The sequence below is a fragment of the Homo sapiens genome, chromosome 2 (assembly GCF_000001405.40).
Source record: "Homo sapiens chromosome 2, GRCh38.p14 Primary Assembly".
Taxonomy (NCBI): Eukaryota; Metazoa; Chordata; class Mammalia; order Primates; family Hominidae; genus Homo; species Homo sapiens.
In genome coordinates, this window is record NC_000002.12 from 235,764,433 (window position 1) to 235,790,719 (window position 26,287).

Sequence of the window (26,287 nt, forward strand, 5' to 3'; positions counted from 1 at the left end):
GTAGATCCATGTTTCCCAGGCACCTAAAGCACATCCCCCCCACTTTGGTGATCGTAAAAATCTGTTATTCCATGTTTGAAATATCAGGATTTCAGAACTCAGTCACTGACAGGTCACTGCCACAACAGCTAAAGAATTAAAACCCAAACATGTCTCCTTATCTCTGCTGCGTCCTGAGTCGGCTCGGCTGCCTGCATGTTCCCACCCCTGATGGGGGCACCTGGGAGCGCCCGTGGGGTGGGGGCATCTGGGAGCGCCCGTGGGGTGGGGGCATCTGGGAGCGCCCGTGGGGTGGGGGCATCTGGGAGCGCCCGTGGGGTGGGGGCATCTGGGAGCGCCCGTGGGGTTGGGGGCATCTGGGAGCGTCCGTGGGGTTGGGGGCATCTGGGAGCATCCGTGGGGTGGGGGTATCTGGGAGCGTCCGTGGGGTTGGGGGCATCTGGGAGCGTCCGTGGGGTGGGGGTATCTGGGAGCGTCCGTGGGGTTGGGGGCATCTGGGAGCGTCCGTGGGGTTGGGGGCATCTGGGAGCATCCGTGGGGTGGGGGTATCTGGGAGCGTCCGTGGGGTTGGGGGTATCTGGGAGCGTCCGTGGGGTGGGCGTATCTGGGAGCGTCCGTGGGGTGGGGGTATCTGGGAGCGTCCGTGGGGTTGGGGGTATCTGGGAGCGTCCGTGGGGTGGGCGTATCTGGGAGCGTCCGTGGGGTGGGGGTATCTGGGAGCGTCCGTGGGGTTGGGGGTATCTGGGAGCGTCCGTGGGGTGGGCGTATCTGGGAGCGTCCGTGGGGTTGGGGGTATCTGGGAGCGTCCGTGGGGTGGGGGCATCTGGGAGCGTCCGTGGGGGTGGGGGTATCTGGGAGCGTCTGTGGGGTGGGCGTATCTGGGAGTGTCTGTGGGATGGGGGCACCTGCGAGCGCCCGTGGCAGCTGCTTTGCTTTCCCCATGGGTGGTAGTCTCACGCTGCCCCCACAGGCCCGGCCCCTCCAGTGGGAACATGTGCCTGCACTTTTTAGTCGAACATGTAAATTAATCAGCAGCAGTCCAGCCTAAAAAGAGAAGCTGAACACTGTTCGTTTGGGGGCTCATCGGCTCACTGCCGCGTGGTCAGTCCTGGTGCCGTGAGCACAGCCAACCGGACTGTACCACATGTTCCCTTCTCCCTGGGCTGAGCAATCGCTTCCCCGCTAAATGTTCGGCAGCACTTTGCCTTGTACGTGTCTACGTCTGCAGGAGGGGCTGTGACTCATCCCCAGCCAACTGTATTCCAAGCACAGCCATAGTTCAGAGTGAATCTTTATGGTCTGTGAATTCTGGAGTTTCAGAAAACTCTCTCATTCAACGTTGTGAGTAAACCGTAAGAAAAAATATTGAACACCAACATAGTCATCTGGGTACTGGGAAATACTCCCATGCCCGCACCAAGATTTCATTATTCAATGAAAAGTCCAAGGTAGTGCTTACATTTCTGGCCTGACCTCTAGATGTGTAGAATTTCAGAGCTGGAAGGACAGAGACCCCACCTAGCTCGACCCTTCCCTTCACAGGTGGACAGGACCGGTCTTGTCAGATAGAGTGTTTAGTAGCAAGGCAGGTGCTAGAAATTAGGTCTGTATCTTTTGGCTGCACAGTTCGATTCTTGTTTTATGAATGTCGTACTTAGAAGCCATTGGCTACATTAAAAAACTTGGTAGTGAGCTAAAATAAAATGCTCCTTTAAGTTATAATTGTTTTTAGTAAAATTTAAGCCATTTTAACACAGGGTGCTTGGATTAAATGCAGTACGATAACACATCGATTATTTTTATAAGCTAACTAATAAAAATTCACAGAGCGTTTTCTGCATGCAACAGAATATGTGGGTAACAGGACATTGGGTCTGTGACAAGGTCTGAGCTAGAAGGACCGTATGGCCCATGAAGCACAGTGTATGCAAGTGCTGTTGTAATTTAGTAAACCGCCACTAGGGGGCATTGAAAGCGCGTCTAAGGATTATTCTCCTGCGCAAATGTTTTCCTTTTGCTGTCACCATGGAGAATACAGATATAATAAAACACACTGGTTTAAGAGACCATTTAGACCTGTAATAAGATACACTCCGTAAAGCGTGTGAAGTTACTGGATCAGCAGCACACAAATGCAGAAGTAAAAAAGTTTCATTCATTGGAATGAGGAGGAGAACACAATTAAAAAGATGAAATGTTATATTCTGTGGTTAAAGAATTCTACATTCTGTGGTTATATATTCTGTGATTTTGCCCTGCATGTAACTTTACAGAAGAATCAAAGAAAAGTTGGCCAAAGATACAAAGTTTTTCTTTTGTATTTTTTTGAGAAGGAGTCTGGCTCTGTCGCCCAGGCTAGAGTGCAGTGGTAAGATCTCGGCTCACTGCTACCTCCACTTCCTGGGTTCAAGCAATTTTCATGCCTCAGCCTCCCGAGTAGCTGGGATTATATGTGCGTGCCACCACACCGGCTAATTTTTTTTTTTTTTTTTTTTTTGTGAGATGTAGTTTTGCTCTTTTGCCCAGGCTGGAGTTCAGTGGTATGATCTTGGCTCACTGCAACCTCTGCCTTCCAGATTCAAGCAATTCTCCTGATTCAGCCTCCCAAGTATCTAGGATTACAGCCCGCCACCACGCCTGGCTAATTTTTGTATTTTTAGTAGAAATGGGATTTCGACATCTTGGCCAGGCTGGTCTCAAACTCCTGACCTCAGGTGATCTGCCCACCTTGGCCTCCCAAAGTGCTGGGATTGCAGGTGTGAGTCACTGCACCCTGGCCTGATACTTCTTTATAGAGTATAATAAATGGACTTATTATTTAGCCCATCATTCTCTCTTAACAGAATGCACCAAGAGTTTCTCTGGCTTGAGTGATTGGCCAGGCACCTCACGTTAGCGTCTGCAGCCTTGAATCGGGAGGCAGGTTGGGCGCAGGCTTCTCGTGCGCACCAGCGAGCACCCGGGCCAAGCGTGGAGGCTCTGCGGGCTGGGGGTCCGGCCCACACCATCAGCCTCTGTGCAGCCGTTGCTTTTTCCGTTGACCAAAGCCATGACCTTACCTTTATGCAGTCGTGTTCAGAGAGAGATGAAGCCTCAAAGGCAAAGTCAGACTGACACTCCTGGGAGCATGACGGGAGTTGATCATTTTTTGGAAATGTAGATATTCCGTTTACAAATCTAAGCACCGTTACCAAGAGTGGTAAGTTTCTGCAGGCAGTAGGACCTTTCCAGAGGATTAGCAGCTGCTGTGTTCCCTGTGGGGTTGGCAGTGGGCTGGGGGCACAGCACGGATGGGATTGTAATGTATACCATTTATCTTGGTATAGAATCTTCCAGTTTCTTGTCTTTTTTTTTTTTTTTTTTTTTTTTTGAGACACAGTCTCGCTCTGTCGCCCGGGCTGGAGTACAGTGGCGTGATTTGGACTCACTGCAACCTCCGCCTCCGAGGTTCAAGCAATTCTCCTGCCTCAGCCTCCCAAGTAGCTGGGACTACAGGCACCCACGCCATCATGCCCGGCTAATTTCTGTATTTTTAGTAGAGACAGGGTTACACCATGTTGGCCAGGCTGGTTTCGAACTCCTGGCCTCAGCCATTCCACTCGCCTCTGCCTCCCACCGTGCTAGAATTACAGGTGTGAGCCAACATCCCTGGCCAGAGTCTTCTAGTTTTTGAAGGTTTTTTTCTTTTCCCTCTTAGTTTTTCTTACCCTAAGATAGAGGGCTTCTCCCTACCAGTTTTTCGTTTGTTTATTGTTTTCACCCTTTATTTTCTCTCACTACACAAGGTTCATTAGAATTTGAGAAATTGTAGCATCTCATATTAGAACACTTTCAATTTCTATATTTGTAAAATGGGACTAATTGTATTTTCAGTACCTCAAATGAGAAATAGATCCAATCACAAACTCAGTATTCTTCAAACATTTTCTCTATCAGAATATGTACAAATTGAATGTCTAGAATTTATAAAGATTTTGGAGAATTTTACTACTTTCAGTATATAGAGTAGTGAAAATTTGGCAGAAAGTCATGAGAAAAGAAGTTAAGTAAAAGTGGGTATTTCATCAGAGCGGAGAGCCACATTCCCCTTAGGAGGGTAGCTTTCTCAAAGTAGTCTTTTAGTGCCAAAGGACAATGTTTTACCATCCTCTAAGATGTAGGGCATTCTGTGGGGAGCCAATGGGTAGAGCTGGGGCCCAAGGTTCAGGTGTTGCAGTCGAATCAGTAAACTCCGGCGGCATCCAGGGATGTGCACGGTGCCGGGGCACATTCACAGAACCTACCTGCAGGTGGGCACGGCTTTGTAGAGAGGGTAGGCACAGCCGCCGTGGGATGAAGCCTGCTCCCAGCACTGTTAGCGGTTGACAGTGTTGTCGGGGATCTGGGCAGCCATGTGGGCCAGGCCCCAGTTTGGCCAGCGCTGCAGCTTCCTCTCTCTGATTCATCGAGTTCCCAGATCTGTTTCTTACAGAAGAAGAAACACCTGCTGCCGAAATACAGTTTGAAAAACCCTGATCTCAGAAATAGGATTCCTGATGACAGACCTTAGCAAATATTCCAATAATTATACCAACTGTACTAAAGATCCCAGTACTCGAGTAATTCACCATAAATGAGTGAAAATTATTCAACTGGATTAGAAATTGCCAGCCTTGGATCCTTTTCTCAGATATTTTGTTTTCCTGGGTATTTTCCCTCTTCTGGGTTCTTAGTGCCCGTCCCCCGTAGCTCCGTCACACAGTCCTGTTGCTGCTACCTTGGGGCCCAGGCGTGTCTTTTGTCCCCCAGTGCCTGGCACGGTGCCCTCCAGGAGTACTCCTGGGATTGGTGGCAGGTCATGCAGTCATTGCTCACCAGAGCCAGGACATGCCTGGGCTGCTGAGTGGGGCGTGCCCAACTCTTTCTGCTTTGAGTTTTCTTTTTCCTCCAGTGGCAAGGTTTGCGTGGTCTTCACTCTTTTGCAGAAAATTGTTGGCATTGCATCATTGGCTTATGCTACTAAATAATGTTTTAAGGAATTGGAGTTTTGCGAGGAGATGGTGACAAGCCTCACTCAGGTCTTTGGTTTCTGTCCTCCTTCCTGGGCAGGCCCTTTGCCCAAATGGTTGTTAAAGAAATGCAAACAGTTAGTTGTTCCGTTCATGCTGTTGCGTGAGATAAGTTAGGATGCTCTTGAAGAAGTTTAGTGACATTCAGAGGAAATCCTTCCAACACAATATACAATTAATTGCTGTAAAATATCGTGGTCAAAATCTCGGGGAGGCAGTGAAAAAAAAACGAAAGCAGTGACTAAAGGGCATCTCCAGGTGCCGCCTCTCACCTGGTCCTGGATCATGGGGGAGGCACAGGCGACGCTCCGAGGCAGCCTGGCTTGTGTTAGCTGAGTTCTGCTTTGGCACAGGGGAGGGAGGACATGGCCCTCGGCTGCCAAGGAGCATCCAGTCCTTTCCAAGGACTTTGGTTTTCCAGAGTTACACTTCACATGTATTTCTATTAAGATACACACTTATGTATGTTTCATATATTAGCAAGTGTATCTCATATCTTCTGAATACACACATTTAAACATGTTTTTGTGATTAAAATAACTTGTTTGTAAAAATACAGGAAACTGTAAGACAGCAAGTAAAAATCACCTATAATCCCACCTCCTAGTAATAACACATATATATACACACACATTTTTTTCTTTCTTTGTTTCTTTTTTTTTTTTGAGACGGAGTCTCACTGTATCGCCCAGGCTGGAATGCAGTGGTGGGATCTCCGCCCACTGTAAGCTCCGCTCCCCGGGTTCATGCCATGCCATTCTCCTGCCTCAGCCTCCCCAGTAGCTGGGACTACAGACGCACGCCACCCCACGCCTGGCTAATTTTTTTTGTATTTTTAGTAGAGACGGGTTTCACAGTGTTTGCCAGGATGGTCTCGATCTCCTGACCTCATGATCTGCCCACCTCGGCCTCCCAAAGTGCTGGGATTACAGGCGTGAGCCACCACGCCTGGCCTCTTTCTTTTTGAGACAGAGTCTCACTCTGTCACCCAGGCCGGAGTGCAGTGGTGCCATCTCGGCTCACTGCAACTGCCGCCTCCTAGGTTCAAGTGATTCTCAAGTGGGGGCTCCGGAGGGTTCCTGCATTGCCCATGATGGATATTCACGCAATCATAAAATCTCCTAAAGTAGAAGATTTAAATAGAAGCTTAAACTGAAGGACAAGGCTTAGAACACTCAGAATCATTTCAGACTTTTATTTAAACTGCTTAGAAAAGCTGGTGGATTTTGAGAAAAAAATTGCCTTTCATGGATTATCACAGTCAGTGCTAGGATAATTAAGCTCAAAGTGGCAGATTCCAATGCTTCAGGAATGTCTGACCCCTGTACCGAGATGGTGTGGTGAGCAGGAAGATGGGGTCCCAAAAGATACTCAAGTTCTAATCCCTGGAATTGACGAATATTATATTTTGTGTCCAAAATATAAAGGGTCTTTGCAGATGTGGTTAAGAATCTTGAATACCTTCTGATTGGGCCCTGAAAGCAATTGCATGTATCCTTATAATAGGGAGGGAGAAGGGTCCACGTGGAGCAGAGGAGTTTGAAGATGCTGCCTGGATGTTGGGACTAACATGGCCCAGGAGTGCGGCCGCCGCAGGTGCTGGGAGGCCCACAGATAACTGCTCACCTGTAGTCTCTGGGTCCGGCATGGCCCCCAGCACCTTGTCAGCCAAGTGATGGCGATTTTGGACTTTGGCGTCCAGAACTTTGAGAAAATTAAGTTTCTGTTGGGCCACTGGGTTCATGGGAACTTGTTAGAGCAGCTGCAGGAAGCTAAGGCAGATGGTCAGAGGCAGGCCGCCTCCAGAGGGCTTCTGCTGGGGAGCACGGTCTCCAGGCTGCGCCATAGGTGCAGAAGGTTCAGGTGCACCTGAGGAGCCTTGGGGCCACTCTGGGGCTCCCACCACACGTGGGCACAGCTGGGAGCAGGGCACCCCCAGGAACCCACGGACCTGCCACAGGATGCAGCCAGGGTGACCTAAGGCATGTGGGCGTGCAAAGATGACGGGCGTGGCTTTTCAACTGGAGACATGCCGGTCTCTGCCCTGTGGAACTGGTGGCCGTGTGTTCACGTGACTTGAGAGCTCCATCTGCCCTGTCTGGTCTTCCCCGAAGAGTGATCCCCACCTGGAGAGGCTTAGAGCCCAGGAAGCTGAAGCGAGGAGAGGCTGTGTGACTCCGGCCGTTGTGGTGGGTGCTCATCTGCGTCAGTTACATCTTGTGCAGTCAGGGGCTCCCTCCTTCCTTCTTCCAACTCACTCCTTACCTCCCCCTCTTCCCAGCACTCCTGTCTCTCCCCAGTGTTAGAAATGAGTTCTGAATTTCTCTTCAAAGAATCAGTATGTCGTTTTAACCTTACAATATTTCATATTTTAATCATTCATCCTTTTTACTTGTTTCGAGGCCTGTGACAAAAAATTCAGATGGAATTACATAACTGTTCTGTTTAGAAAATAGAAGTAAATGCAATGTTCCGGAGCTGACATGTTTCTTGTTTCTTTTTTTTTTTCTTTTCTTATCTTTTTTTTTTTTTTGAGTTGGAGTCTCACTCTGTTGCCCAGGCTGGAACGCAGTGGTGCGATCTTGGCTTACTGCAACCTCCGCCTCCGAGTTCAAGTGATTCTCTTGCCTCAGCCTCCCAAGTAGCTGAGATTACATTAATTAACCAGCCACCATGCCTGGCTAATTTTTTGTATTTTTAGTAGAGACAGGGATGTCGGCCAGGCTGGTCTCGAATCCTGACCTCAGGTGATCCGCCTGCGTCAGCCTCCCAAAGTGCTGGGATTACGTGTGTGAGCCACCACACCCAACCCCAGATATTTCTTATAATCCCGCTAATGACAAGACAAGCAGAGCTGATGCTTTATGACAGACCACACTGAGAAACTCTGATTTCTCTTGACGAACTTCCCTAAAGACAGCTGTTGACAAATAGCTCCTCACCAGCAGGCGCATGTATTCCAGCCCCATCAGATCTCCATCTTAGCTGTTCCTCAGTCAGCTACCAAGAAGCCAGCACTTGTAGGTTATGGCTTGTGGATGGATAAACTCTGGGCTGGACCACAGAGTCCTCCCATTCATGGTGCTTCAGCATCTCACTTAGTCAGTTGACCCAGCTGTGAAATGGATCTGCCTTTTCTTGATTATCTTCTTCTGGGAATGCCTCTCATAGCTGAAATGTGTCTGTAGCTTGGGCCTAAGAAGGTGGGTGACACTGAACACAAGGCAGAGAGTTCATTGTCACAGGACTGAGCACAGCTGAGCGGCTGTGACCAGCCTTCACATGGAACCAGCCGCGAGTAGACAGGCAGAGGCCGCCCTCGGAGCCTGGGATGCAAGCGGGTCTCTCTCTGACCTTCAGGAGGTCACTGAGTCCTTGTGGGCCCTGCATTCTTTATGTGCCCAGTAAAGCTGTCGGGATGGCTCTGTTTGATTTTGTTGGGATATGGAGTGAAAAGCACCAAGCTGTCTGTAGCCACTTTTTCTCCCCTCTGTGTTTTGGAAGCAGATCAACTTACTATTGTTCCTGGTGGAGGGGGTCCAGGTTTTTGGCCTTTTGAGCAAAGAATTGAACAAAATGCACAAACAAAGCAAGGAAAGAATGAAGCAACAAAAGCAGAGATTTATTGAAAACAAAAGTACACTCCACAGGGTGGGAGCAGCCGGAGCATAGGGGCTCAAGAACCCAGTAACAGAATTTTCTGGGGTTTAAATATCCTCTAGAGGTTTCCCATTGGCCATTTGGTGTACACCCCATGCAAATGAAGTCATGGCCCCCAGTCAGTCTGATTTGTTGCAGAAAGCAACCAATCCAAGGTGGAAGTGAGGTTACAAAGGTTACACTTCTATGCAAATGAAGATTTGGCCTACGGTCAGTCTGATTGGTTGTGGAAAGCAACCAATCAAAGGCTGAAGCAAAGTTACAAAGTTACACTCCTATGCAAATGTCTGATTGATTGGTTGCAGAAAGCAACCAGGTGGAGGCACTTTCAGTTTTCCATCTGCCTTGCAGAAAAGGCAGGGAGGGGGTTGCAAAGGGAGCAGCCTCAGGTCCTTTTGTTACTTAGGTGTGGAAAGTTGGGGTTTTCGTTCGATTTAGTTCTAGGAAGTCAGCGTGAATCGGCCTTAGGTTCCCTGCCCCCATACTCTGTTCTACTACCTCACTATAGATTCTGATCCTTTTAAATAATAGCGCCAGTTCATTCATTAGAAACAGTGGTTGGACCTGGGAATGGACTGGTGAGTCATGTCCTCTCCTATGGAAGTTTCCTGAGATGGGGGCTGGTTTTCTTCGGAGAATCACAGTTTATCTTCTAATTAGTTGAGTGCCCTTTGTTTTCCTTTACTGTCCTTGCACCAAAAAAAGAAAAAAATCTCGAAAATATTGCCAACATTTATTGAAGAGACTTTTTTCTTCTTTTCTTGCTTGAGATATTTTACGTTTGAAGACAATCAACTCTTCATCTCACCTGCTGGTCCATTCAGCCAACTTTTTTTCCCCCTCTAAGATTTTTAACAAAAATAAAACAGGACCAAGAGATAGCAATTACTACTACTATTATGACTACGATGAACAAAAGTTAAATTTCTTAATCTCAGATTGTTTTACTGCCTTGCAATTAAATATCCAGATCTAGGAGAAAACTATTTGTAGAAGTCTTGAAAATTCAACTCATAAATAAATGCCCTTATTCTTGATATTATAGACATTTCTTCTGTAAAGTATGGCACATCTATAAACTAAAAATGCACATCTGGAAAATCCGTAAGGCAGAAATTCCAGCCTCCCCTATCCACAGCCATCAGAGGAGTCCCTCACACACCTGTCGCCAGCCCAGGGCTGGGAAGATAGAGGTGCTGCTGCAGAGGGAGTTCCATGACTCACCCCTGCTTCCAGTTTTTAAAAAGGGCTGAGTCTGTCGGGTTGAGTACTTCCCTTCCATCACGGCAGGCAGTCACTTTTCCCAAGTCAGCGTGGACTTGGGCAAGACCAGTAGGCTAATGGGAAAATAAGATTCCAAACCTTTAAGTGTAGTAGCCTAAAAATTGCTGATAGGAAAGCGATCAAGGACTGAAAACTGTCGCATTTAAAATGGAAATGAAGCCAGGGCTCTGAAGTAGAGCTGGGCCTAAATGCAGTGATTAAAATAGTCGTTAGGCTGCTCGCAATTACCCTAGATGCAGCAGGCTGCCTGCATCTTTATGGCGGTACTTTGATTCCAATCAGAGATTTCACATGAACTTATTTTGGTCTTTTCAATGACGTCTCAGAGTAGAAAACAGATGCAGTCCTAAAGTAATTACTAACCTTTTTATCTTGTGAAAGAGAATTCAGATGAGCGAGATCTCTGCGGTGGGTTGATCTGAGTGATTGGCGCCTGCATTCACTCGCCCATTCATTCACCTCCTGTGCTTGTCACCAGGCTACAAAAACGAAGCCACCACCCCTCTCTGGTGCCAAAATGTCAGTTTGGGGAAAGCTGGAGCTCCCTTCTGAGAGCCAAATTTATTTTTTTTTATGGAAGAGATTCCCCTGTAAATTCTGGGAAAGTTTGAGAGAAAGCTCCAGGAGTAGTGACAAAGCAAAAGGACTGGGTGAACAGAAGGGGCATCGGAGATTGTCCTGTCTGCCTGCAGCCAGCTGGGGAACAGAGAAGGTGAGTGGGGACAGAGCCCACAGGTCCTGCAGGTGTCCAGGAACCAACCAGTGATGAGCAGTAACCAATTTGGGATTCCTGTCCCAGACTGTAGCACACTCTTTGGCACAGGATTTTGTCATGGGGTGTGTCACCCTCAACGAAAGGAGGTTTGCATCGGTATAGCCTGTGTTTGGTGCCCTGATGACTGAAAGAATTCCTGTGAGATCATTTTGTGCCAGCCAAAAGTGAGTTGTATTAGCGGAAGCATAAAAAGCTGTCCTCTTAAATCATAGGTGTAATGACGTCCTTTCCAGGACGAGTTACCATAGAAAGCTTTTTAAACAACATTTATTTTCCTACCTTCTGAACCTATTTCTTAAAGACAAAAAAGAAAAATAAATGTACTTTGCTCTGTTATTGTCAGCCTAGATTTCTCTGTCTGCCAGGAGATAAAGCCTTAATAATTCACGGCCACTGAGAAGTGTCATAGTCCTTCCTCCCACCCCGCCCCGAGTTAAGTGTTAACCCCAGTACATACCTGGTCACGCTCTAATTTAGTAATGATGATACTTTGCTGTTATAAATTTTCTCTGGGGACTTGCGGGGATGGAAGAGCCTTTACTTTGTCTTAAATTCTATGTACGTGTAATTAATCAAAACATTGATTAATACCCCTGGAAGTATTTCAAAGATAGAAAAACATTGGAAACACATTTTAGGAATTTCTGATATAAGTTTTCAAGGAGGTTGTGCAGAATTGGTAAAGAGAATTGAGTATGAAGATGGCCTGTTGATTCCTTTTAAGCGTTTAAGTTTTTCCGTGCCTGGGATTGCCTTATGTGCAACCGCCAGCTTCTGTCCTTTGAAGGTTTTCCTAAGATATTTTCCTAGTTTAATAGGAAGTGTGGACATGGGACATTGTACGGCTTAGGAGACTGCGTTGTGTTTGGTTTTGAATATATATTAGATGCGTGACCCTCCCTCTTAAGAACTGATTTTGCTTTGAGAAGATCTACAAGGGCCAAAAGTGGACCTGTTTCAAAATTCTGGTCACAGTGTCTAGGATGTGGTGAATTCTCCATCAGTGTGGCTTAATGAATGAGAGTGACAAGGGAGGAGGGTGGGGCTCCAAGGCCTCGCAGGGGTGGTCAGGACTGGTGTTGCCTCCTCCCTCAGCCTCTCTCCCCCTACCTACTGCCCATTCGGAAGTCCAGGCCTCCTCCTCAGTCACTGAGACTGCTTTGTCAGCCTCCTGCTTCTGTATCCAGGCAGATGACCCCACACTGAATCTTTGCTGTGCTGGCCTCTGCTCTTGCCTGTGACAGAGCTCAGATAGGATTCTTTCCTGTTCGAAAGCCTTTGATGCCTCCCTAGCACCTACCATAGTGGTTTCCAAACTTGTTTTTGGCTGTGAACCCCTCTTGTCGAGGGTCTCCTAAGTTGAAGGCCAGTGTGTAAGGCAGTGGGCAGTGCAGGGCGCCAGTATTTCCGCCCTCTGAATGTGGCACCACCTGTCCCAGTGGGCGTCACTCGCTCATGAGCAGCTATTCCCAGAGAGCCTCCTGTGTTGCAGGTGCTATGCCCTGCAGGGAGCGGAGGGCCCTCCCCCTTCCCCTTGCACACCTTGTACTCCAGGCACTGCAAGCTCGCACCCTTTCCTTAGCCTCAAAGCCTTGCTCTGAGCGAAAACCTGCCCGTCCCTCAGGCATCGGCACCAACTCGGAGCCCCTTTTCCAAAATCTCGAGGCTCTCCTAGCCCTTTCTTGGCTGCAACCTCTCTGGCTTTTCCGCCAAACTGGAATCAGCCTCGGAGCAGGAAAAGCTGGGGCCGTGCTCACCTTTGCTTCCCTTTGCTGAGTACATGGTGAGTTCCCAGCACGTTTTATCATGTGAGCGTCTGCTCTTGAGAGGCCAGGCTGGATCCTGCAGAGAAACGAGGAAGTATTAGACAGAAGTGATGCTGGGCGCGGTGGCTCATGCCTGTAATTCCAGCACTTTGAGAGGCCAAGGCGGGTGGATCACGAGGTCAGGAGATCGAGACCATCCTGGCTAACACAGTGAAACCCTGTCTCTACTAAAAATACAAAAAATTAGCCAGGCGTGCGCCTGTAATCCCAGCTACTCGGGAGTCTGAGGCAGGAGAATCACTTGAGCCTGGGAGGCGGAGGTTGCAGTGAGCCGAGATTGCGCCACTGCACTTCAGCCTGGGTGACAGAGCGAGACTCTGTCTCAAAAAAAAAGACAAAAGTGATTTCCTGAGCTGCTCCGAGCTGGAGACAGAACCAGCAGACATGGGACAGAAGAAGAATTACAGGTGTGAAGCGCCCGTGTGGGGCTGATTCCCACCTGCCTCCTCGTTATCAGCAGGCAGCCTTGCGTCTGCCTCTGGGAGCAGAAACCGTTGTTTCACCAGCAAATTACGCTGGCTGTACTCGCCATGTCCTGTTGCCATAGAGGACGAGTCACAGCTGTCTCACCTGCACCCCTCCAATCGCCTTCTCAGAATCCGACGCTGGTCCTAAGTGCCTTCAGCTGTCACCTGAGCACGTTCAAGCCTCCTGCCCAGCACCTTCCTAGAGCACCGCCATTGGCATAAGGACTAGGTAGGCAGATGTCCTGATAAAGGTGCACGCTCAAGTGTTTGAGACGTTAACGAATGATGGCTGTGATGTAATTGACTCAGTTGACACATACAGAGATAGAACAAATATGGCAAAGGACTTGTATTTATTGGATATTAGTGGGTTTATGGGGTTTATCTGTTGTATGTTACATTTTCTGTACCTTTGAAATGTTTGTAGTGGTTGGAAGGAGGGGACTTCCTTGGCCCCTCCTGGCTCTGCCCTGAGCCCGCTGCCCTCACCCTCTGCCTCAGACCTGGGCGATCTCATATCTGTGTGTTTCACCGAGGCACTCACATTTCTGGCCACTGAGACCCTTTCTCTGAGCTTGAGACTTAAATATCAGCTGTGTCCTTGACATCACACCTGGGCCCCAGCTGGGTGGCCCCTCTGTCCCTGGCTCAGGTTAGACCCCTGGGCCACTCTGACTCCCCTCCCTTCCTCCCTGTGGCTGCTTGAGCACCAGGTTGTATTGGTTCATGTACCTTGTACGACCCTTGCCATCAGAGCCCTGGCCCCAGCCACCATCGCCCCGCCTGGGTTTCCTTCTGCACTTTCCACTTTGGGTATCCACCCATTTCCCCCAGTTCTTTGACCAGTGCAGCCAGCAGGGAATTTTATTTCACGTCTAATCAGACAGCATCTCTTTAGTGTCTTTCTCAGACCACCACTGTGCTGTGGGTCCTGAGAGCCAGAAGGTTCTTCGAGGTTCTTAAGAGTCCCTGTCCTCATGCTTCCTGCTCCGTGCTCTTCCTCCTGCCCCAGGCCCCTCACTCACTCGCTCCTTATCTGTGAGCATAGAGCTCCAGCTTCTGGCTTCCCAGGGAGTGTTTCTTCCCCCTCTCCTCCCTAGTTCAGTTCTGAGGTCGGAATTCCCGGCTACCATGTGGCTCCCCTGACTGGAGACGCAGTGCCAGGGTCCTCATCTGGGAAACTGGTGATGATAGAGGTCCTGCCAGTGCTTGGAGCAGGGCCCCACACAAGGTAGGACTCAGCATGGCCTGGAGATGACGGTGGCCTCTGATGGCTGTGTTCTTGGTCTAGACTGTAAACCCCATGGGATCAGGAACAACCACATCTAGACCCTCATATTAGGGATGCCAGCCCGGGCACCACATCTTTGTCACCTGCATCTCTGTGGCCTCTCCAGCCCCGTGGCAGTCCTCACTGCAGGAGGCTGGCACCCTCTCTGTGCCTCACATGGATCAACTGACTTCCCTCACCAACCCCAAGAAGCATATCCTGTGTGTATGTTTTACAGATAAGGAAACTGAGCCACAAAAGGGCCAGGTAACTTGGTAAAGATCATGCAGGTCATAAATTGCCTCACTGAGCTGGGAACCCAGGCAGTCAGCTTCGGCGCTCCCCACCCCTGTTAGGCAACCTATGAACATTTACCAAGAACACAGACTCATCTGCAAGGAAGCCTCAGTAACTTGATGAGGAGCAGCTAGAAGACTCGAGGGAGAAAAATCCTTGTAGACACATCAGTGGATTCAGGTGACTTGTGTTATTTTTAAAATACAGCCTCGCCAAGATACAATTCACACAGTCTCCAACCTAACGATTTAGCTCTGCTTTTAAGACTGTGTTGGGTTTGACTTTTTTTGAGGGGCCTCGGCCACTCTTGGGTTGTTTGTAATCTAAAAATAATTGGGGATGAATATTGGTTACATTTCATCCCGTAGGACCTTAGTCTGTCTGGTCACCACTTACCCCTCCAGGCTCTTCGAATGCCATATTTGGCTATGTGAGAATTTGTCAGAGCTCAGCTCAGCACTCAGAACCCGCTGGCTCTCCGGGTTCTGCCCTTCAGCTCTGCGAGTCCAGAGCCCAAGCTGCTCCTTGGAAAAGCGGAGGCCACTAGATGGCAGTACCGCCCTGGCTAGAGGTGCCCTTGGGGCTGAGGCTCAGACATCCCTGCCCCTGGTTTCCTTCAGGTGAGATCATCAGTAACCTACAGGCTTTGCAGACTGAAGGTGAAAACCAGTTAATGTGCTACATCCATTTTAATTTGAAAGATACAATGAATTAAATTAGGCATAAAGTGAATGTGATAGGAAACTGGAAGCTCATGGCTGAAGCCTGGACCGCTGTCAGAACTGTGCAGCCTAAAGCCGGGACCCCTGGTAGCTGCTTTGTAAAGGGCAGCAGCAGCAAAATCCTCACCACTCGTGCTTGGAATGTACGCTGCAAAGTTTGTACTTAACAGCAAATGGCATAAATAGCCTCTATTCCATTAAAGAATTGGACTGCACAATCTCCTTAGAGAAAATTTGATGAAGCGGTTCATGCAAGACCTGGAGTGATGGTATCACCACGTTAGCCTAAAAGAGTGTTTGAAATAGGAGGTGACATTCCTGGGGGGGGCTGCCCCTCCCACCTCCACCCCTACCTCCTGTTTTCACCATTTCTTGATACAGTGGTGCCTAATTTTATTTCAAGAAGAAGATAGTTTGTTGCTTTTTTTCTTTTTTTACAGCTTTAAAAAATAAGTTGAGGAATTTAGGTTTAAGAAAATTAATAGCTACAGGTAACTGCAAAAGATATCATTGGCAGATGCAGCAAAATATATATATATGTATTTCCACAGAAAATTGGATTCTGCCCATAAAACTTAGTAATACTAATAAAGACAGGTCATTACCAGTTTTAAGCCAAGTAAGCAAACTCAAAGAGATCTTCTGTCAGTGTGATTCTTGGTGGTTTTTTATTTTTTTGGAGAAGTGTAAATCAGCTTTAGTGCAGCAAGCACACCACAGATTTGCTGAAATCATTCCTGCCCCTTCTGACGGTGGGTAGAGTTGCTCGGCCAAGTAATTTACAGTGCTGTGGCAAGGTATGTTTATATTTAAGCTGTGCAACGGTGTAGCTAATGAGAAAGATAAGAAATTTATAGTCCTTGGTGATTGATAGGATTACTGCCTAGGCATTAATTGAAATCTGAGGGATCACAGCTGTGGGTTTAAGTTGGGGGAAAAATTACTTCAAGTAAAGGAAAACTTTTAGATTTGCTTCTGAACATTTTGAAGATAGTTCTCCCGCTGACAGTCTGGTTGGTGGTAGAAACAGTTGATCCTGGCCGAGGCTGGGGTAATTATACTGAGATAATGATGGTATCTGCTGTGTAGCCTCTTCAAGGTAGGTGGTTTATAAGTGTGGGAAAAAAAATTAAATACTGTGGGGTTTTTAAATGGCTTTAAAATTTTACATGTATAAGAATAAAATTCTCTGCAGCCACTCTTTGCTAAATATTCTCTGGACAATTATTTAAGACATTTTAAAAAAAGAAACCCAAACTAATAATGACAGAGGCAAACCTGTGATATTAGTCATTGCCTTAAAATTTCCACTGATTATATTTAATCTGGGTATGTCTAAAGTAATCTTACAGACCTTTCCCTACCTGTCATTTTTTAAATGTACCATTCTTGTTGAAGCTCAGTCTTGTGAAAATGTCTAAATTTTCCCATTAAGTGCTTAAAAAGTAATAAAACTAAAGTCATTAGACTTCACTCATCAGAGCTATATTGGGAGAAATATTCTTTGGTGCAATAAATCTGTCCAGGGGTTCGACATTCATATCCCTTGGATTCATTCCCTGGAAATGGACGTTTGAAGGTAAATTGCTTAAGTAGGGCAGTTTAAATTTTTAATACAATCTTATTGTAACTGTTATCACATGATTAAAGTGCAAAGGGGCCTTAGATGTTTTGTAAGATTTATAATAAATGCTCTATGATGCCTTTTCTGTGCTGAATTATGGATGTTATGACAGTTAAATGCTTATAAAGGCCAGAAAGGCACAAATGAAGAGTTGGGTCTTTATTGGAGACTAAATCACACTTATTGAATGCAGACAGTTTTTCACTGGACACGTGTTCATTCCTAGATTCACAGTCTCGGAGGCACCTAGAAGCCTTCGTAAGCCAAACAGTATCCAGTGCCTCTCTTTTCTAATGCAGTGGGCTCTGGAAGGGTAAGGCCTGAGCCAATGGAAGCTGTTTTGAAAAATACCCAAATAGCAAATTATTGTTCCCATCACCAGTTGGCTTTTTTGGGGGGAGGAGGGACTTTTTTTTTTATGTAAATAATCTCATCAGAGGCCTGATTCTCTAATGGATGCCGCTAGTGTATACGGAGTTTCCGCATTCCTTTTGTAGAATCAAGGAAGCTTGAAGCTACGTCTTCATGCATCATGGGAGCTGTGATGCCCTTTAACTTTCTAGACCCAGTGACACAATGTGGTTCCTTTCATGTTCACTGTTTGGCCATAGTTGATTGGAATTGTTGTTTTAAGGCCTAGTTTAACTGGACAGCAGGACTAACTCTTCATTTCAGAAGGAAGGCCTGCAGCCCAGGAGATGGAGCTGGGCAGGTGCCCTCCTCACGAGAGGCTACAGGCCAGACGCAGGGCACCAAGAGCATGGCATTTGATTCAAAGCCATGGTTGAGTGGATTTTCAATCTATTTGAAGGATAACTTTGGCTACTATATAGTATTTACACTCCTGCCCATTTTTTTTTTTTGTATTTTTTCCATCAAAAGAGAAATCTGTTTTGAAAACAGAGGTAATGTCTTTACCATCTTTCTCATGTATATTATTTTTTGGAGGAAGGAAATAGCCAGTTTTCTATACTTTGACAATGTCACCATTTGCCATCTAAAATTTCACAAGCTGTAATTTGCCTTTTACTTACATATCTCATCCACAGATGTATTTGAGTGTCCACAGTGAAATGGTTGCATTACTTTCAGATTACTTCCTTTAATTCTTTAGATGGGTGCTAATGGTTTGGGTTATTAACTGGCACAGATCTGAGTTCTTTTTGTCTATGCTTGTTGTTTTTTTCCCCCTTCAAAATGAATTTGCAAAAGCATCACTAGAAAAGCTTATGTGTAAACATTTATGCTAGTAATAGATAAAAGGTGCTGTGTAGCAGTACCAGTGGGAGAACGCTGAAGCCCAGAAGGAAAGTCTACCTTCTTTGGAATAACTGAATAGGAGTCCCAGTCACCTATTCCCACTTTCTCTTTAACTATCACCCTTGGATGGTATTGAGGAAACCGTATTGCATGCCTAATTTTCACAGCGTTCAGTATTAAGGTAAACCTACTGATTGTGTTTAAGTTGAAGTATACCTTTTCCAAGTAGCTGTGTAACTGGCAGTGACAGAATAGGTGTTGTATGGGAGGCAGCATTTTCAGCTGTAAGTGCAATAAATTGTGGTTTGTTTATTTTAGTTTTTAACCTTTTAGACTACTTTGTGATCGGCAGGAGATTGTGTGTGTGTGTGTGTGTGTGTGTGTGTCTAGGTTGCAGAGTGAGGATCTGGTCAGTGATTGACACTTGTTTTCAAAGTGTTCACCATGAATTTTTTTTCTTAAATACCATTTTTCTCAGTGAGCTTTGAACCATGATGTCACCAAAGACAAAGTGTTTCTCAGGCTTTTCTTAGTGAAAGATACTTTCCTAAGGTAGTTTATAGCAAGATTTGGGGATTAAAAAAAAGAGTTGAATTTATGGCCTGAAGAGTCATTATAACCTTTTACCTATAGCTAACATTTACATACCTCAGGTCAAATAAATTTAGATGTATGCTTAATGTTCTAAAAGCTCTTTGTTCCTTGCTCATCCTTGGCCGGACCAGAGAAGTTATTGATAATCAGGTGTTGCTTTCTTTGTGGTAGGACATCACCATGTTCTCATAGAGTCCTGTTAGGAAGCAGAGGACGGACTGCTGTGTGTCACTGTGGAGAGAAAAAGACCTTGTGACGTCCCTGTCATCACAGGATTCTAGTATCTTGTTATGCCAGAGATGTGGTTTGAAAACTTGTTTTTATGGACGTACCCACAAAACATTATGCTCTGTGGAAAGAGGCACGCACAGAAAAGAATGATTCCATTTATATGAAGTTCTACAACGGGCAAACTGATTGGTGATGAAAGAAATCGGAAGAATGGTTGCCAGGAAGTGAGAAGGAGGGATTGGTTGGGGTTGGGGGTGGCCCAGAGGAACTCCTCAGGGGGATATTTTCATCGTGGCTTGGGTTACACGGCATCTGTCAACATTCATGGACCGGTACAACTAAGATGTTTTGCATTTCACAGTATGTACATTTAATCTCAAAAAAAGAACCTAATAGTTAATCACGTGCATGTTGAAATGTGTGGGAGTGAACTGATGCCTGCACCGTAGTTGAATTGCATCAGAAAATGAAATGGACGGACGGACGGACGGATGGACGGACGGATGGATGGGTGGATAGATATATAATAAAGCAAGTATGTAGCAACATGTTACAATTATAAAATGTAGCCGGAGTGGAAGGAGGTGTTCGCTTTCAAATTTTTTTTGTATGCTTAAAAAATGTGTTAATAAAATATAGGGGGAAATCAAAAAAATTGTTACTACATTAAAAATGTCATTGTAGGTCTCGTACATTAAGATGGGTCCAGATAAACCTAATTTAATGTGATGTGCTTTCTCACAAGTAGAAGTGTACAGTATAATGAGGAGCCACAATTTTTACAAAAATGAATCCTGCCAGAATTAAAAGGCATACATGATTCTTTGAAGAATTTCACTAATGCATAGAAACTGCGGTAACAGAAAAGAATACTTTGACTTCCTCACTATTCCTAAATCACAGCAGATTACAGATTCAAAATCAATCAGTATTCTCTGCTGAACTCTAATTAACACTTAACATTATTAGTCACAAATGTGAAATCTTGATCGGAGATGGCCTCAGGTATTCTAAATGTAAATAAAATTAGGTTTAGATCCCTTTTAATTACCTGAGGTGCTGTGAGCGATTACAATGGCAATTGATAAACTTAATTTCTTATTAAAGCAAAAAAAAAAAAAAAAAACCATGAAAAGTTTCTCTCTGCTATATACTTAACTCTTCAGTAGCCATGGCCTATGCAAAAAAAATTTACCTGGTTTATATGTTAATCATATAGAATTTAGATCGTTTTAAAAATGTTTATGTGGACCCTCAAATTCATCATGCATCTCCTAAGTTTGTGGGTAATGTTACTATAACATCACAAAGGGCAAAACTTCCCCAGAGGAACTTCACGTATCAGAAAAGGTAGGTTTCTGGGAGGTAATGCTGGTTAAGTAATAATAATGGATGGGTGCTGGGGAGAGTATTACAATGACTTAATGCACAAAGCCCTGTTGAAGACCAAGTGGAAATCTGTTTTGTCATCTCATCCTTCTTCCTAATTGCATCACAATACATTGTATAATTCAACCTGTGTGTCACTGTCACTTCTTCCCGTGCACAGGGCCACCGCTGCTGGCTCATTATTAACAGAGCAGGGAGGAGACGAATAATTCTCTCAGGTTCCAACCAAGACATCTTCTCTCCCCCACTTTAAGAAGAAAATGTCTTTTTTATGTAGATTGTTGTAAGGATAATTATTTCTGGAAATAGGAAAACAGCTTCAGTTGTGGTAGATACATCCATTTTTCTTAAAAGTGAGAAGCTATCCGAAGGAGAGTGTGCCTGTGAGAAATGGAAAGATTACAGAAGTTTCTAAACTCCTTCTTCTGTTGGTGTTCATATCTAAAAATAGGAAGCAAATTAGACCTGATAAGTTGTTAAGCCTATATTAATCAAACTGTGTTAATTTTTTAAAAAGAAAACCAATTATTGCACTTAACTGGATCTGTCTCAAGGTTCCTGATTTCAAAATCGACTTTTGGCCTTTACGTCTTACATTTTCCCTTCTTTAGAACTCTTGCGTCTCCTGTTCCTCATTTATCTTGATCTTCTCATCTTTTTTTCTTTATAATTTTGTGTAGTTTCTTACCTGGAATAATTTAGCATAATCTATTTTTCTTTAAAATTTTGTATAGTTTCTTTAGCTGGAATAATTTAGCATAATCCATTTTTCTTTAAAATTTTGTGTAGTTTCTTTAGCTGGAATAATTTGGCATAATCAGTCTGGCACGCTATCATGTTGTTGGTGGTACCTTTTTCTCTTTGTATGTTTTAAAATCCTTTGCCAGTCACTTTTTCTGTATTCTGTCTTCATAGTTTATCGTATTCCTTTGATACCACCATGTTTATCTGCACTTATCTTAGGTCTTTCTTTCATTCCACTGACAAATTGTGTTAGTTTACTTTGTAACCCCAAATTTGGGCCTTTTAAAAAAAACGTGGATGGAAGAGGGAAGTCCCGTAGCTTTGCCTGGCGTGGAAGAGTGTTGAGGAGCCTCACGTGCAGATTGAAGAATTGCCGGGTGAGCCTTCACCTTCAGGGGATGGCAGAAACATTTCTGCTCCAGGATCATCAACTTTCTCTGCGAGACAGCTTGATGAGTTGAGAAGAAGTGACAGGTTCATCTTTCCCTTCTTTGTTTAAGTCATTTATCTTTGAGATCCTTGCCTGCCATCTAAATTGTATTGCCAATTTACTGGGATATTCACTTGCCTCGTCTTGGAAGACGCTGATTTGCATCCAGCTTGAGAATAAGTGAGAGAGAAAGTTAATCATCTCCTGGCCTTTTGAACAGATTTGTACTGTGTTTAATTGTAGCATTTGAAATGTTACATATTTTCTAATGAGAGTCTATATTCAACTCTTGTGTTAACCTGTATCATGAGGAGAATAGCACAGTGACCTAGTCTAGAAAGCTCTGCTCTTCGGAAGATCTTTAATTTATGCTTTTTGCATATCTTTCTCCATTTCAGATTAATCTAAGCTATGTTAGCTGCTTTTAAATTCTGCCTACTTGTTTTTGATGATGATTTATTCAATTAAGTGGAATAATTAATAATGAATTATAGTTGGGCATGGAGGGAAATGGTACACTCAGCTCTCTAAGAGATTCTGAAATTTTTATCGAGATTGTTGTAGGGGTAATTATTTTTGGAAATAGGAAAACAGCTTCAGTTGTAATAAGTCCATTTTTCTGGAAAATGAAAAGCTATCTGAAGGAGAATGTGCCTGTGACAAGATCTCGTCTAGTTTCTTGTGCCCTGTGACGAGAAGAGCACAGCTCTCTTACTCTGAGCAGGTGAGGTCTTGAAGAAGCACCTCATTAATAAGGTCCTGAAGAATAAGTTCATTTGTTTATAGGGTTCAGGAGACCCCTAGAGTTCCAGTGAGAAAGCGTGAGCTCCGTCCATTGGTCCTCCTGGCCCTGCCACTCTCTTCCCCGCTTGTTCTGGCTCCCGTATTCTTGACACCTTTTCCCAGCATATGCTAGTTTTGTTTCCATCAGGCTTCCTTGAGGGAGCTGTCGCCCCCCAAATCAGGGTCTTGACACCAGCTCCTGCCACTCTGACACATACTTAGGCAGTGCTCAGAGTCGAGCTGGCCTGGGGCCGTGGCCCCACAGGCTTGTGATCAGTGGGCTCCGGTTCTCACTTCTTGTCTTTGAGTTCTCAGGCTTCTCCCCTCTCCTGTTGTAAGAGTTGAGCTAGCAGGGGCCGCCTCTACCCTTGGCTGCTGCTTCCAAACCATGTGGGTTTCCTATGTCATGAAAGCTTTTCTTCATCACGTGCTAATGACTTCCTGTTCCACAGGCGTAACACTTTCTAATGTTTCATTCATCTATCTGAGTTTTTCCTGCTTTAAGTGCCTCTTCTATGTCTGTGCAACATTCATTAATTTCTCAGTATTTCCCCCTTGCAGATTATTCCTTCTTTGTCTGCATCATAGACACACGCCTCTCTTTATAGCACTTTCTATATCCCACATGCTGCCACTTATCTAACACATTGGGAGAGAAAGGTGCAGACAAGGTGTGCAGGAGGTGGATGTGATGTTGTGGTTGGTTGGTTGACATTTTCTAGATGATGCAGCTGGCAGATTTGTCTGGATTTCACAATCTCCCACATCTAGCAAATTGCCTGGCATATACTAGTTGCTCAATAAAAACAGTCAGTAAATGGGATGAGTGAGGGATGCTATAAAGCATAGTAAAGAAACCTTCCTTGACACATTAAAGGGAAAAGCAGCCAACTCCACATATTAAAGAATGGGCAGCAACTTGCTTGGTTTCTGTGAGGACTTGCTTAATTCTGCATTGACCAAGAGCAAGCTGAAGAGCATTCTGGGATCAAGAAGATGACCAAGTACATTGTGGGACCAAGAGCAAGATCAAGAGCGTTCTAGACCATGAGCATTCTGGGACCAAGAGCCATGACCATGAGCATTCCGGGACCAAGAGCAAGCAAGGCCAAGAGCATTGTAAGACCAAGAGCATGACCATGAACATTCTGGGACCAAGAGTTTGACCAAGTATTATACATTCTGGGACCTTCCTAGGCCATTGGCATCAACGCTGCAGCCTCTGAGTCATGCATGCCTCATGGGGTCATCCTGACTTAACCTGATGGGTAGGACTTACTTGAGTAGGGCAGGAGGTTTTGAAAGGACATGATCATACACAGTACTTAGCTCAAGTGCACAGAGAAGCAGAGTGCCATACTGGGACCCTACGGTACAGCCAGCCGGAGACACAGGGTTCCAGACACAGCTTAATTCCTTCACGCTGGAGTATGACTTGGATGTACAAACTCCTAATCCCTAAGGATAGGAAAAGACCTAGAAGATTTGAGGATTTTAATTCAGGAAAGTCCACCAAAAGGATAAACAGCTAGGAGCCCACTAGTAAGCCAGGATGGTGTGGTGCGGATCTTGGATGAGGTTAGCTGAGTTTGAAAACTGGAGAAGGCATGGATGAGAGCAATGCTGAGGGAAGGTGAGGCAGGGTGGGGAGAGGAGTGGGAGGGTAGGTGAGGCGGGGTGAGGAGAGGATTGGGAGGCAAGGTGGGGCGAGGAGAAGAGCGGGAGGGTAGGTGAGGCCGGGCAAGGAGAGGAGTGGGAGGGTCCATCGGTGTCGTCAGTGCACATCCCGGTGCTTGGAACTGACTGGTGGGCGTCCTGTTGGTGCATGGGGCAGACTGAAGCCTGAGACATGACCCCCGAGGGTTCTCCAGACAGGATCATTTGGAGCCCCTTCTTTCCCAAATGGTGGGGAGAAGTGCTGGCGGAAGCAGAATGGAGCCCTCAGAAGCGCGCATTCAGACCGGCAGTAGACAAAACCAGCTGCGGGGCCACACCACGTTAGGGTGCTTTTCGGCATCTCTCAGTGGGGTGAACGTTTGCATGTTGGTGCTTCTGAACACAGGATCCCTGGTCCTCCTGAGGCCTGGAGCCTGGCAGTTGGTCAGCTCCCTGGCCCCTGCTGCCCTCTAGCCCAGGGTGACTATGGGAACAGACATTCCTGATTTTTGGCAGCTCGACTTTGGGATTAAATGTTAAGGAACTATTGTGCTTTGAAGGAGTGCATGGAAGAGGAAGGGATGTGTGTTTCCTGCAGCGTGATTTGAAGTCCCCTTTACCACAAATAACTACTTTATACCAGAATTGGATACACATATTAAAAATGTCAAATACACCATATTTGTTTCAGCACAGGGTTTTTGTTTTTGTTTTTAATTATGTTCTTTCCCCTTTTCTCTGAAAGGAAAAGGGAAATCCCGCTGCCCTAGACATGGTAGAAATTTCCCCTCATTCTAAAATTCTGAAATTAACGTCAGCAGCCTTGACTTTGCTCTGTCCTGAAGGTAACTGTTTATTACAGTCGGCATTTAAATCCCCCGATTAATAGGAGCAATTAAACAATAGCTTCATTTCCAGCAAATTAACAACCCTAATAGGTAATTGCGACATAAATGAAGATAAATTTGTTTTAATACAACGAGATAAAAAGAATACAGACAAGAACTGAATTTCAGATTAAGAATTCAGACTTCAGTACTTCAGGAAAAACTTAAAAGCTTCACTAGAAGAAATTTAAGCAAGCTTGGCTTTTTAACCACAGCCTATTTTAGATTAGAGGGTTGTTTGCTCAAAAAAAAAATACATATATATAGTCATATTTTGTGCTTCGATACTCAGAAGGTAAGGCATCAAAGGATTACTTTGATATACGCAAGGTAAGTCAACAAAGGATTACCACCCACCGAACCCTTTCTCCTGCTGGCTTGCTTGGGGCATGGCATGTCCTAATGACTTACTCGAGCAGTTGAATCTTGGCCACAGCTTCTCATTAGGCTTTCAGTGACAAGGAACCAAAAAGCAAATGCATAGAAGAGCATTTCCTATTTACACACCCCTAAGTTAAATTTATGACCTGTTTAGTTGCAGGATGTCTTACCTTCCTTGTTAGTATTTGTTCTGATTGGAAAATTACTCTGATGGTTTAGAATTTGTCCTGTTGAAATGTGGAAGTAGCTGGACCAGACTTGTTCATAAATGCAGCATCCATGTGAAGGATGGGTGGGAATCGGTAGATTTGGGGTGAATAGCTAAGTGCTGATTTTAAAGGTAGTGGCAAAAAAAATGATGAAAGCCTCTTCTAGAACAAGGATAATGAATTTCTCCTTGTGGGGTCGCCGTGCTTATGGGAAGATGGAACGTACATTAAAGAAATTTTCGGAGTTTAGCTAAAACTGTATCACTGAGCTTGTATCACCTTATCAGAACTCATTTTGGTAGCTTAGAATCATCAGATGACACATAATTAGCCTAGAATTCTGTGTGCTGCCAAAATACTAATCCAGTAAAAGGGTAGAGGGACAGTTTTAGATATGGGAGTCTCAAAACAAAATATATGTGTGCTTCTCGGGAAACCGCTGGAACCAGGCTGCTGAGTTCAGCCCCTGAGGCTCTTTCCCAGCCCCTCCGCTCCCCACACCCCTGCACACTCCCTTTCTTGAGTGTCCAGGTAGAAATGACCTGTATCTTCTAACCACCCCAGGTATCTTTCCAAAGCATAGATCTCTTCACTTCTCTATTCAATTTGAATAACCCCCCATTGCCTTAAGGACAACTTCACACTTGCCACTCTTCTCTGCATATCAGGTCCTTAGAAATGCATTTCTAGTTGCCTGTTTCAGCATCTTCTCCCACTACCTTCTTATAACCTTCCCACCCCAGCCCCACT

At 45.4% G+C, this 26,287-nt stretch overlaps 1 protein-coding gene and 1 long non-coding RNA gene across 7 annotated transcripts in view, besides 1 other annotated feature; one reads left to right on the plus strand and one right to left on the minus strand.

Annotated features, from left to right (window-relative positions):
* The window catches only part of LOC105373942 (uncharacterized), a 42,554-nt gene extending 16,735 nt beyond the window's left edge, over nucleotides 1-25,819 (minus strand). Inside the window, exons 1-5 of one of the 2 annotated variants that reach the window (XR_001739944.2) lie at nucleotides 25,499-25,819; nucleotides 18,882-19,058; nucleotides 12,525-12,609; nucleotides 11,225-11,360; nucleotides 9,411-9,550 (exon numbers count right to left, since the gene is read on the minus strand). This is a non-coding gene — a long non-coding RNA (uncharacterized LOC105373942). Of the gene's footprint in view, nucleotides 1-9,410; nucleotides 9,551-11,224; nucleotides 11,361-12,524; nucleotides 12,610-18,881; nucleotides 19,059-25,498 lie in introns of those variants that run through there. The other variant, XR_001739943.3, reaches the window with a different exon arrangement.
* AGAP1 (ArfGAP with GTPase domain, ankyrin repeat and PH domain 1) overlaps nucleotides 1-26,287 on the plus strand; it is a 637,751-nt gene that overhangs the window by 270,390 nt on the left and 341,074 nt on the right. The gene's annotated exons all lie outside the window — the stretch shown is intronic.
* Nucleotides 23,806-24,306: an enhancer, noted in NCBI's record as "H3K4me1 hESC enhancer chr2:236696882-236697382 (GRCh37/hg19 assembly coordinates)". NCBI's record gives its function as "activates a minimal SCP1, AML or CMV promoter by ChIP-STARR-seq in primed H9 embryonic stem cells {active_cell/tissue: H9 hESC(primed)}" and the evidence as "EXISTENCE:reporter gene assay evidence [ECO:0000049][PMID:30033119]".